The sequence below is a fragment of the Homo sapiens genome, chromosome 16 (assembly GCF_000001405.40).
Source record: "Homo sapiens chromosome 16, GRCh38.p14 Primary Assembly".
NCBI lineage: Eukaryota > Metazoa > Chordata > Mammalia > Primates > Hominidae > Homo > Homo sapiens.
The window spans coordinates 80310808-80324242 of NC_000016.10; the positions used below are offsets into that span (position 1 = coordinate 80310808).

General features: G+C 43.1%; 1 long non-coding RNA gene across 1 annotated transcript in view, besides 1 other annotated feature; it reads right to left on the bottom strand.

Moving 5' to 3' along the window:
* The window catches only part of DYNLRB2-AS1 (DYNLRB2 antisense RNA 1), a 407178-nt gene that overhangs the window by 154850 nt on the left and 238893 nt on the right, over positions 1 to 13435 (bottom strand). The window lies entirely within an intron of this gene.
* Positions 6849 to 7349: an enhancer, noted in NCBI's record as "H3K4me1 hESC enhancer chr16:80351553-80352053 (GRCh37/hg19 assembly coordinates)". NCBI's record gives its function as "activates a minimal SCP1, AML or CMV promoter by ChIP-STARR-seq in primed H9 embryonic stem cells {active_cell/tissue: H9 hESC(primed)}" and the evidence as "EXISTENCE:reporter gene assay evidence [ECO:0000049][PMID:30033119]".

Below are 13435 nucleotides of genomic sequence, written 5' to 3' on the forward strand. Positions count from 1 at the left end.
GCAATTAATAACATGATTCTCATTTACTTTACTAAATCAAGATCTCAGATGAATATTCTTATTGTAACTCACTGCTTATTAAATCTTTTAAACAGTGTTTTGAACAAAGCAAAGATGGCAATGAGAATGAGGTTTAATCACTGGAAGATCACTCATTCAGGAGATAGATCTAGGTTCAAATCCCAACTTAACTTCTTCTAACCCTCTTAGCTTTAGATAAGTGCCATGGTTTGTATGTGGGTTCCCTCTAAATCTCACATTGAAATTTGATCCCTGATATGGTTTGGCTGTGTCTCCGCCCAAATCTCATCTTGAATTGCAGCTCCCATAATCCCATGTGTCATGGGAGGGACACAGTGGGAGATAATTGAATCATGGGGGCGGGTTTTTCCCATGCTATTCTTGCGATAGTGAATAAGTCTCATGAGATCTGATTGCTTTATAAAGGGCAGTTCCCCTGCACAAGCTTCTTGCCTGCTGCCATGTAAGATGTCATGACTGTGAGGCCTCCCCAGCCATGTGGAACTGTGAGTTCATTAAACCTCTTTCCTTTGTAAATTACCCAGTCTCCAGTATGTCTTTATTAGCAGGGTGAGAACAGATTAATACAATCCCCAGTGCTAGAAGTGAGGCCTACTCCACCTCCAGCATTGGAATTGGAGGTGGAGGAGGTGTTTGGGTTATGGGTATGGATCTCTCATAAATGGCTTGGTGTTATCCTTATGGGAATAAGTGGGTTTTCCCTCTACTGGTTCCCATGAGAGCTGGTTGTTAAAAATAGCCTGGCACCTCCAGGCTCTGCCACTGGCCTCCCCCTCTCACCATATGACCTCTGCACACAGCAGCTCCCCTTTGCCCTCCACCACGAGCGGAAGCAGCCTGAGGCCCTTACCAAATGAAGATACCAATCTTCACTTGAACTTTTCCAGACATCAGAATTGTGAGCCAAATAAACCCTTTTTCTTCCTAAGTTACCCCGCCTTAGGAATTCCTTTACAGCAACACAAACAGATGAAGACAGTAAGTAACCCAAACTCCTTGAACTTCCACTTTCTCATTTTGTGAAGCAGGGATGAGAAACTATTCTGGCTTTGCAAGCTGCCGAAAATATTAAAGTGCGATGTTACGAGGCAGAAAGAATTTTGCCAAATAGGTAGCCTTAAGAAAGTTCACAGCAGTATTACGTCCTTCTCTGTTATATCTATATGTATTATTATTTCAGCCCTGAATCAAGACATTATCAGCAATGATGATTATTTAACCTAATAGCTACAGATAATTAGTCTAATAACTATCGATATAACATCCAATCATTTCAGATGGTTAGATTCACTTGCAAATGGTCTGGTTTCTCCAGAAGGATTTTAACATGAGTTGTTGTTTCCTCTTAAAGTTTTTTTGTTTTTTTTTTTCTGGAGAAGGAGTCTCATTCTGTCGCCCAGGCTGGAGTGCAGTAGTGTGATCTCAGCTCACTGCAAACTCCGCCTGCTGGGTGTAAGCAATTCTCCTGCCTCAGCCTCCAAAGTAGCTGGGACTACAGGCAGACGCCACCATGCCGGCTAATTTTTTGCATTTTTAGTAGAGACGGGGTTTCACCATACTGGCCAGTGTGGAGTATGGTCTCTAACTCCTGACCTCGTGATCCACCCACCTCGGCCTCCCAAAGTGCTGGGATTACAGGTGTGAGCCACCATGCCCAGCCCCAAAATAAAAAGTTTTAACACAGCTCATAAGGTACCGGATAATTCGGATCCTGCCTCCCTTTCCTACCTCAATTCCCATATCAAATCCCCTTCATCCCCCTTGTGCTCAACACTCTAAATGCAATTTTTTTTTCTTTTAAACATTTCAATGTTCCCCTGGATTTTTTATGTCTGGCTCCTTCTCATTTTCTAGCCTGAGCTAAAAGGTCACCAGCTCACAGGGGGACACTCCATGGCTGCTCAATATAAATATTCTCCCACCCTCTTCCCCGTCACCCTGTTTATTTCCAGCAGGGCACATAGGTTCAACCCAAACCTGTCCTTTGCATGTCTGTTTGCTAGTTTAACATCTGCCTGCTCACTAGGATGTATGCTCCTACCAAGAGGGATCTTACCTACTTCTCTGCCACTGGCTCAGAACAGGCTCCCAACAAGTATTTAATGGATAAGCAAGCAAACAAACTTGTATAGTGATTGTTTCGATTTTTTCTCCAAAAGGACAACAAAACAAGGATGTGGGTGCAAGTGGTTTACTTGGGAGATAGTTTAGGAAAAGCCAACAAGAAGTAGAAGAATGAGATGGGGAAGAAAAGGAAACTGGGAAAAGGTGAATATGCCAATGAGTAACCACCATGGGAAAACTGGAGCTCTTGCTAGAAGATGCTAGGAGAAGAAAGGACTTGTGGTTACACACACTCCCCACTCCCACTCCAGGAGAGATATGTCTGTTTCTATCCACCAGCTCACTTAAGTTTTTGATTGAGGACTACTAATTTCTAAACATTCCAATCTTACTCCAAAATGCAGGCAGAGTGGGCTCCGGCAGCCAGAGAAAGCACTCAAAAAGGAGCAGAGGCTGGCAGTTGGAAAGCAGACAGGTTGTACACCAAGTGCTAAGCTCCAAGGGGATACGTGACAGCAATCTTAACTGTTCCAACTAAACTCAAAACAAACATTCCAGCACTGAAAATTAGGGCCATTTTCTCGAGTCCATGAACCATGCTGCAAACACACATAAAGGATACAGAGAGGAGTACATACATGGTACACACAGCAGCTAACTTTTCTGCTCTCTTCTCAAGTGACATCTTAAATAAAATAGGACCCAAGAAAACAAAACCATTCTGTTTACCATTAAAGAGTCACAGCAATATATGGTTAAATACTACTCCTAGGACATCTGCTCAAACACACTGACACTCCCCCAACCCCCAACAGTGGTCCAAGAATGGCTCTTGCTTGGGATTCAACATGATTTTGAAACAACTAATATCATATGAACATGGTTTATGCTGCAAATTATTCTCTACAAAGAGCTATTAAAACTCAGTGATGAGTGAAAATAGTCTTCAAATTCTCATGTCAACATTCAAACCCTAGATTGAGTTTCTCCTCTCCAGTTTCATTCAAATAATTATGTTCCCTGGATTAAATGATACTTTTTTAATTCGATTGTATCCCACAGCCATATGTTTATTTTATTTGGATGAGGGAGAAAGGTATCTTAATTTCTTATAATAAGAGCTTTTGGGAAATCTGGCACTTCAGTGGCAAGGCAGTAATCAAAACTGAATTCTATACAAGAGGTAAATTATATTGCCTTCCAAATTAATTTGCAAATGGCCACAATACTAATAAAATGCAGGCAAGACTGTGATTTCCCTTTTGTAAAAGTCCAGCTCCTCAGTAACCAGGAAAAGCAAACTCGCTAAGGAGCACGAGGTCAGCTGCATGCTACGTGCCAGGAAGCCTGAGTTTAACCCAAGATATGTGCAAGTTTTGAAAGTTGGAGCACAACTTTGGAGGAAATTTGCCTCTTTGTATTCCGTTTCCTTATGGTCTATGGCTGGTCCTGGAAGATGCCAGCATCCAGCTCCAGAAACTGGAATGGCTCTGCAGTATTACAAGCCCCTAAGCCCCTTATTTAGGGGTTCGAAGCTGATCCTGGTGTTAATATGTTCCTTAACTTTATTTTTAACACTTACAGCAAAGATATTCCTCTGAAATCTACTTCAGGTGGCAAATGAGACTTACTACACTATGAGAAGTTTGAAGGCAAGGACTGGTGTATTTATTTCCAATGGCTACTGTAGAACATATTATCACAAACTTGGTGGCTTAAAGCAACACTAATTTAGTCTCTTGCAGTTCTAGAGGCTGGAGAAAAATCAATTTCCTTGTCTTTTCCAGTTTCTAGACACCAAGAACATTCCTTGGCTTGTGGCCCCGTAACACTCCAATATCTGCTTCCATCATTCCATCTCTTTCTCTTTTGAACTTCTTTCCTCTCTCTTAGAAGGACCCTATCCTTGGGTCCCTCTGAAAAACCTAGAATCATCTTCCCATTTCAAGACCCTTAGGCCAGCCGCAGTGGCTCATACCTATAATCCTGGCAAGTAGGGAGGTCGAGGCAGGTGGATCACTTGAGGTCAGGAGTTCAAGGCCAGCCTGGCCAACATGGCGAAACCCCATCTCTACTAAAAATACAAAAACTAACCGGGTGTAGTGGCACGTGCCTGTAATCACAGCTACTTGGAGGCTGAGGCAGGAGAATCTCTTGAACCTAGGAGGCAGAGTTTGCAGTGAGCCAAAAATCATGCTGCTGCACTCCAGCCTGGGTGACAGAGCAAGACTGTCCAAAAATAAATTAAAAAAATTTTTTTTAAAAAAAGAAGCCCTTAGTCATGTCTACAAAGTCCCTTTTGGCACTGAGGTACATATTCACAGGTTCTGGGGATTAAAGCATAGATACCTTTGTTGGTGCTCTTCTTCCCATTACAGTGGTAATCACCACTATGTCCTGAGCACCTAGACCAGAAAAGCCACATCCAGGTAACATGGAATATAGTAAAATAGCAACGTAGTGAGGGCATTTGGAGCATGTGACTTGTGTGTGAAATCAGGCAGGCTGGGTTATGAATCCTGGCTCAACTGTTAGCCAACCAGCTTCCCGAACCCCTCTGAATCGCAGTTTCCTCACCTGTTTAAAAGGATAGCTAATAGTACCCACTTTGAGTCGTTGATGGCAAACATTAGATAATACTGGTTGACAGAGTTTTTCCCAATGTTCGTCACAATCCAAGCTCAATAAGCTCTCACTGAAACACAGAATTAAACCAGGAGTCAACAAAGGTTTCCTCTGAAGGACAAAAGAGTAAATGTCTTCAGCTTTGAAGGCCATAGAGTGTGTCACAGCTACACAGCTCTTCAACAGTAGCACAAAAGCAGCCCGAGAGAGTACATGAACGAACAAGCAAAGCTGTGTTCCAATAAAACTTTATGAAAATTCAAATTTGAATGCTAGTTTTCACATGTCATGAAACGTTTTTCTTTTGATTTTTTCCCACTTAAAAATATGAAAACATTCTTGCCCTGTGGGCCACTCAAAAACAGGTAACGGAATGGATTCAGCCCATGGGTCATGGGTTGCTGACCCCTAGACTAGGTGACTTCCAAACTCCCTTTTATCCAAGAGTCTATGATCATGTGAAAAAGAATAAGATGTTGGGAAGTGGGGGAAAGCGGAGACAGTTAAACCTAAGCTCTAGGGAATGTGCCTCTGAACCTTGTATTCAGTTTCCTTATGCTCTGTGGCTAGTCCTGGAAGATGCCAGCAAACACCCCCAGAAACTGATATGAAGAAGGGATCTCATTTAGGACATAGCTTTGCAGTATAACAAGCCCCTAACTGCCTTATTTAGGAAAGAGTTTGAGGCTGATCCTGCTCTTAATATGTTAGTTAACTTTATTTTTAACAACTACAGCAAAGATGTTCCTTTGAAATCAACTTCAGGTGATGGGCGAGTCTCTTACTAGACTATGAGCAGTTTGGAGGCAAGGACTTGCCTCTTAAATTTCTCCCCTTAAATGGCTGGATTACCTTCACCAGCTCATTTAAACTCTTTAAGTATCTGTTTTCTCATTAGCCAAATGAGAAACACATACCTCATATGAAAATTATGGAGATTAAAATGAGCAAATCACACAACGCAGTGTCCATAGTGGCCTCTGCGACTCAGTCAATGTGGGTTTTCATCCCTTGTAATCTACCCTGGAGAAAGGATGTTTCTTCATGGAAGAGTCTGGCTTTTTAAAGAGACAATTCCTAGTAACAAGATGTAAATGCCCAAGGCGGCTTTCTCCCCTCTTAATAGAGCACCAGGCCTGGTGATTTACCCAAAGAAACGATGCATCAGGAACAGCAGCGGCTCTCACCAATTTTGCACACTGCACTGGCCTTAATGAAACTGGGCTGGACAGAGAGAAGGCATCTGCTGCTGAGTCCCTCAGAATGCTTCCCTTCGTACTGGAGGGTGAGACTTGAGGGACAGTCCCGGGTTTGAATCCAAGGTTAATTTCAGTTAAATTCAGGGTTCGGAATTTCTCAAATGATTAAAAGAAGGAAGAAAGCAAATGTGTTGTGTCTTGCACATTCATTTCAATCTCCCTATCCCCACCCTCCCATCCCCCCATAACAAAACCCTTCTCCCTGCAACTTCCACTACAGCTCACAGAAGCACACAGCGATAAAACACCAGCTAAGCGCTTACATCATTTTACAATCAAGCATCTCCAAATCTGTTTATGTGATCAGCCCCAAATTCTGTCAGAGCGTTGACATGTGCATTTCTAAATAATTTCAGGATGTCAACCTGAATAGACCCGCAGAATCGGAAAGTTAATTATCTTTGACAACTTTGCCAGCTAATTTCCTATTTATATGTACCAAACCGGAGGCCTCTCTCATCCCCTCTTGTCACAAAGGATTTATCAATCAGATCAAGGCCTAAAATTGTCTGCCAAGGCATTCCAGCTTCCCAAAGGGGCGTTTATCTGTTTGAAATCTTACCGACTATCCAATGACAGCGAAGTTGACATGAAACAGATGAAGAGCTACTTCCTTTCTCCGTGCGGCCCCAGCAGCCGAGGGTCCCTCTGGCCAGCTACACCATCCTGTCCCCCAGCCTAGCACCCCCACCCTCTCTTCCTCCTCTTGTGTTTATCTGCCTGCACTTGTCATGCCCCAATTTCCAAAGTGACAACAGCCTCACCTCTGCATTTCAGCTGACAGGCCCCGCCAAATGCCAGAGCCCTGCCTGTCTGAGCCAATCCGCTGACCCTCACTTAGGAAGGCGCACCCTGAGAAACCCAACAGGCCAGTGTTGACAGATGGCTTGATGGTGGCGGTTGGGGCTCCTGTTGTCACTACTTCCCTCTGACAGTTAGTCATGTTTAACTTTAATGGCCATTTCCGCTGTCAGGTTCCCTAGAAAGGAGCTGCTGCCTTACAAGACTGCAGCAGGCTGTGGCTGAGTCGGGGGCAGGCGCCAGTGTGGGCAAGGCTGCCTGGAGTTCTGATGCTGGTTCCTCATCAGAGGAGCTGCCGAGGAGAGGAGGCAGCTGCAACCAGGACAGGATAATCAGGCTGGCTTGGACCTTCCCAGTTCCTGCCTTCAGCCACCAGAGGCACTGCAGAAGAGGAAGGGCGCAAGCAAGAGGCTTTCCAATCATTCCTCCATCTATTCAACAGGCATTCACCTAACACGTTCTCCAATCTGATCACCGTGTGCATAAGGCCCTACCTTTCAGGAACTTCTTGTTTCATGGATGACATCCATTCATGTCTCTTGTTCAGCAAATCCATACCAAGGACCTTCTATCTACAAAGCACTATTCTAAGCCTTCTGAGCACTATTCTAAGGATATACCAGTGAAAAACAAATTAAGAAAAAATAATTCAAAAGAGCTGTTCTCATTCTATTGCAGGGGTCAGCAAACTAGGGCTAGCAGGAAAAATCCAGCTCACCATCTGTTTTTGTAAATAAAGTTTTATTGGAACACAGTCACATGCATTTGTCTGCATATTGTCTATGGCTGCTTTTGTGCTACAACCGCAGAGCTAAGTAGTTGGAACAGAGAACATATGTCCTGCAAAGTCTACAATATTTACTATCTGGCCCTTTACAGAAAAAGTTTGCTGACAGATTATTTCAATACAACAGGGTAAGTGGAAATAGCAATATATAGTGTCCAGAGGGAGCCTGGTTGGCTTTGTGAGGTCTGATTTGTTCACTGTTGTTGCCACAATGCCTGGAACAGTGTTTGGCACAGAATAGGTGCTCACCAAAGAGTTTTCCTTGGCTAGATAAGCCAAAGAACAGATACTCTGATGGGTAGGGGAATGGGTAGATGGAAAGGTTTTTAGAAAGCTTGGCGAAGGAGGTAATACATATGCTGGATGTTGAGGAATAAAGTATCTACCAAAAGAGGAAGAGGGGAAAATGTTTTCTGGAAGAAGAAAATTCACTTGTCATATTTACAATGCAGGGGCATGAAACAGGATGGCAAATTTGAGGAAAAGAAAGATGGTGGAACGGAGGAGTCTGGGTCAAGTCAAAGGGAAGAGGGTCACCATAAAGACTTGCATTTATAATCTTATTGAAGACAGGCAGCATGCATACCCTCAGGATGAAGTCAGTGGAACTGCACAGAGTGCCCCCATACTTTGGAGTATCTTCTTTAAAATGGAACTTGGCCTCCATTTCTTCCATCTGGGGCACTCTTAGGCTGTTTACCCCATGTATGGAGTCAAACAGATGCCCCAGGGAGCTCTAGAACAATGCCTATGGGGTCATCCTGGGCCCCCCTGGCCGAGCCCCAGTTCTAGGAGGATGACCTAGCAAGCAACAGGCTCCCATTGGCTGGCATGGGTTTTATCTCACGGAATTATGTGAGATTGCACCACTAAAATGCTGCTGCCAGGTGGAGTTTAGGATGACTATTACTCATGCCAGACACACGCTGAGTTTGGGGCTTTGTCTGTTGACAGATCATTGTCAATCCTTGGGTCTGTTGGGTGGGCACCGGTATTGGCTTTTGCCATGTTCTGACAGCAGTGCCACCTGCAGGATATAACACCCAAGGGCAACTGGATGGTGGCAGGTGTCCTTTATCCTGTGTTCCTCTTAGTCTGCTGCTGATACTCAGGGGGGCTACTCACCTCCTCTGAAGGCTCCATGGATAGTGGGATTGACCATGCCTATCTCCTCTGAGGGCTCTACAATGTCAGATGGCTTTTTAATCGACGTCCTCTCCTGCCTCTGTCCATGTGCTGATGTCCTGCTCTCCTATGTTAATGTCATGGTGGAAGAGAAGAAGATACTCTTTGCACAAACAGATTACTCTTCTTTCTCTATCCATGGGCCCTTGTCATCCTCCCCTGTGCTTCCCACTGTGTGGAAGGCCGGCTGCCATCATCAAAAGAGGTCACGTGCTGGGAGCACTGTGATTACAGCCTCAAAAGTTCGTAAGTCCACACGTCTACATGTCCTATGTTGAAACAACAAAATTCTGAATGGTAGATTTAGTATGACCAGAAAACGACTCATGGTTCCCATTCTCCTGCATCCTCTTGATAAGACTGCATTTATGGTCATCATCAATGAAGCACAACCTTTGAGAGAATCACCAGAAACCAGTATTCAAAGGCAACATGAAGCATGATGCAGCTGATGAATAATGACAGAACTAGCATTAAATAAATGGCCTTGGGATTTGTAGAGCAAGATGAACTGTGTTGTTTCAATATAAATAGGTTACAGAAAGCCATCACATTGGGAGTAAAAGCAGTGTTGCTACCTTTTGCTCATGGTAGAAGATATGAAATTAGCCAGGAATGGCATATGGGATAATAAAGAACATGAAGAGGTGGTTTCCGGAATTAATGGTGCCTGAACTCTGCAAATGTATTGATTGGACAGTAAATAAATTTATGTTCTCTGCCCACTGTTCTACGTATTCATCAGTAAATTGCTATATCTCATATGGACCCATAAATTCTATAATACATTTTAAAATCAAATTGTTTATATAGACACAATTATTGCCCAAGGTCTCACATACCCCCAAGCGGTCCCGAAGGTACAAAATGTGCATTTCAGTCCCAGAGAAGTATGTTAAAAAAAAAAATAAGCCAACAATTAAAGAACCAACAAGTGACCTGGAGGAATCCTAGCCTTTACTCCTTTTCCTTGAAGGACATCTAGCATTGACCAGAAACTTCCTGACCGTTTTTCCTCTCCTAGTTCTCACCTCCAACATTCTCCAGAGCCTTTTAGCCTTTTATCTGATACAACTCCTCCCAAAGCAGTCTGCTCAGTCTCCCTCCATCCTCCCCCTTCTCTCTTTTGTTAAACTTCTATACAGCTCAGTTTGACTTTCATCACCAAGTGCATCCACAACCCGGCCTTTCTCATCTTGTTATTCCAGCTTTATGGGCCTCCCTTAGTCCAGCAAGATGACACATAAAATTAACCATCACACCATATTAACAGTAAAGTGTAATAATAGAGTGTTAAAATAATAGAGTGTCCACAATAATAGAGTATTAACATCCAATAGGATACTAATATAGTTCAAATACAGTACTAATTTCCAAATTAGTAGGATGGAAAAAGGAAAGAAGAAAACCAGTTCCAATGAAAGAGTATGGGTGAAAACAACAAGAAACAAGTATGGTAAATAGCAACAACAAAGTAAGATAGCATATATAAATTGAAACATATTGGTAGTCATAATGGTAAATAAACTTTAACTAGTTAAAAAAGACAGATACATATTGGAATAGAAAATTCATAAAATTAGACCAGAATTATCAAAAGCAAAGGGAATATATGTATTGTCATGTTCATATAATAGACAAATATTAGCTAACAGTAAGCAGTGTAACAATATTAATGTCAGACTAAATATATCAGACTCTAATATAACAAAAAACATTGTTAATGATAAAGAGTTTTATGACATGATTCAAGGAATGTTTTCCTTGCATCTGCCTTATACTAGCATACACCTGATAATATAGCCTCAAAGACAAAGCAAAAACAGAATTACAGAAAAAAATGAACAAATGCACAATAAACATAGAATATTTTAATGCATTCCTATCATTAACTGGTTAGTTCTTCAGTATTTGACTCATTACCTGATTTTCCATCTCAAAAATCTAAAAATGGCCCCAGAAGAAACAAACTCCACTGCTTGCATTTAGAGTTTCCTCCCAGATGGACTTTTAGGAACAGGGTGCCTGTGAACACTCTCATGCCACAAACAACCTATTAATCAGCTTATGTTTGCCAGACTAAGTTTTGAGATTTCTCCTAAAAGGCTGAGATAGGAATAAAAATATAGACCATGGTATTGGCCAGAACATTACTTTCCAGTGGAAATAAAGATTTAAGTAGCTGGATACAAAGGCTGCGAGAGGCTTTGTCAAGAAGATCTTGAAATTCTGCAGCAGGTTTTGTCTTTGTCTCCACCATCAAAGCAGAAGGTATACATGTCAGAAATAACACAAGATTTGGGGCATTGATTATGTAATTTGTGATTAATTTCATCTGGATCCTTTGGTACTTGGGCCTCCACGTGTAAAAACTCATCTATGGAATGAATATGGGGAAAAATTTGTGTCACTGAAGCTGTCCAATGGGGCATGAAATTCAACAGTCATCCCAAAAACACCCTCTCTAACCAAGGTCACATACACTCATCTATCTGGGGGGCTTTCACGGGCATATGGAGGATGTCTTGCTATTAATCCTAGACGTTAAGCGCAGGTCTTCAGAAAACAAGAAAATGAGATTATCTTTTGGGTGTTTAGATTTTTTTTTTTAACCAATAGACTTTATTTTTTAGAGCAATTTTATGTTTATAGAAGAATTGGCCAAGCACAGTGGCTGAAGCCTAGAATCCCAGCACTTTGGGAGGCCAAGGCAGGTGGATCACAAGGTCAGGAAATTGAGACCATCCTGGCTAACATGGTGAAACCCCATCTCTACTAAAAATACAAAAAGTTAGCCAGGCGTGGTGATGGGCGCCTGTAGTCCCAGCTACTGGGGAGGCTGAGGCTGGAGAATGGTGTGAACTCGGGAGGCGGAGCTTCCAGTAAGCCGAGATCACGCCACTCGACTCCAGCCTGGGCGACAGCGAGACTCTGTCTCAAAACAAAAAAAAAAAAAGAAGAAGAAGAAGAATTGAGCAGAAAGTATAGAAGTATAGTGGGTTCCATCCACTCCATCTCTTCCCTTCTCCCCCTCAATTTCCCCTATTATTACCACCTTGCACTAGTGTGGTACATTTATTACAATTGATGAATCAATAATAACACATTATTATTCACTAAAATCCACCGTTTACATTAGAGTTTACTCTGTGTATTGGATAGTTGTGTGGATTTTGAGTTTTGTTTTTAGGTTACTTTTTCCCTACATTTTTTTAGCACCTAAGGACTCCTTAAATTTTTCTTTAATGTACTAAGGCAAGCACATTTGTAAGCAGTAACTAGACTCCTTTTACAGTTACCTAAGGATACATCATTGTGAACAAACACTTCTGATTGATTCAATCCAATTACACGTACATTCTGGAGCACTTACTGTGTAGTGGGTGCTGAGTACATAGTACTGGAAAAGAGAGAAACAGTCTTTTTCCTCACAAAACTTAAAGTTTAATGACAAAGATGAATATTCAGTAAGTCATTACAAGTAGGCTTTCCTTTGAAAGGGCACATAGAGGCTTCAAGAATCTAGCACACAAAGTGAGGAAATGCTATCACCGGCTTCCTAGCCTCGGCTGAAGCAAAGAACTCTGATGTTCTGGTTCACTTTGGGGCCATCTCTCAAGTCAGCTCATGATTTTCAGGTGGTTTTGTCTAATCTGGAAGCTGGCTCAGGTCCCCACTTGCCTGGGTCCTGGGCATCTCAGAGTTCCCGAACCGGCGGCCTCTGAGGGGTCTGTCCTGCAGGGCTTGGGCCCATGGCTCCCAGAGCCACCTCCTATCACATCCCTCTCTGCGGGCGTGAAGAATTAGCCGCCTCACTGCACTGACACCCTTTGTCTGGCAGTGCTGAGCTGGCCAGTTTGTGCCTGGATTTATTTCAGTCACGAATTTCCTGAGCTGCAAGGACTGGCTGAAGGGAGAGGAACACTCTGAGACTGTTTGCCTTGTGTGTTAGTTTACTAGAGCTGCCTTAAGAAAAGTGGCACAAGCTGGGTGGCCTAAAACAACAAAAACATGTCCTCTCACAGTCTGGAGGCCAGAAGTCCAACACCCAGGCATTGATAGGGCCGTGCTCCCGCTGAGGACTCTAGAAAAGAATCTGCTCCAGGTACACCCAGCTTCTGGGGGGTGGCTAGCCATCCTGGGCGCTCCTTGGCCTCTCGACACATTACTTGGATCTCTGCCTCTGTCATCGTACCATGTTCTCCCTGTGTGACTCTACGTCTCTGCACCCACATTTCCCTCTTCTAATGAGGACACAGTCACTGAATTAGGACTCACCCTAATCCAGCATCATCTCCTCTTAACTTCATTACAACTGCAAGAATCCCCCAACCCCCACCCCGGCCAACCCCACTTCCAAATAAGGTCACATTCACAGGTGCCAGGCATTAGGACTTGCACATACCTCTCAGAGGGGACACAGTTTAATGCATGACACCTTCAATTCCCAAGGTTGCTTCACAGCTGGTTTCCCCCAGCGTGAAACTCAGTGGAAGTGAAGCTGACACTGGCAGAAGACACAGACATTGTTTCCAGACCCTTCAGCTACCTTGCCGAATACCTGAATCATGATTGGGTCTAAGAGCTTAGGCAATGCCAAATGCCACATGTGTAGGTGATTTAAAGAAGGAAAAGGCAGAAAGCGGGGCAGTTCTGCAAAACTGGAAAATCC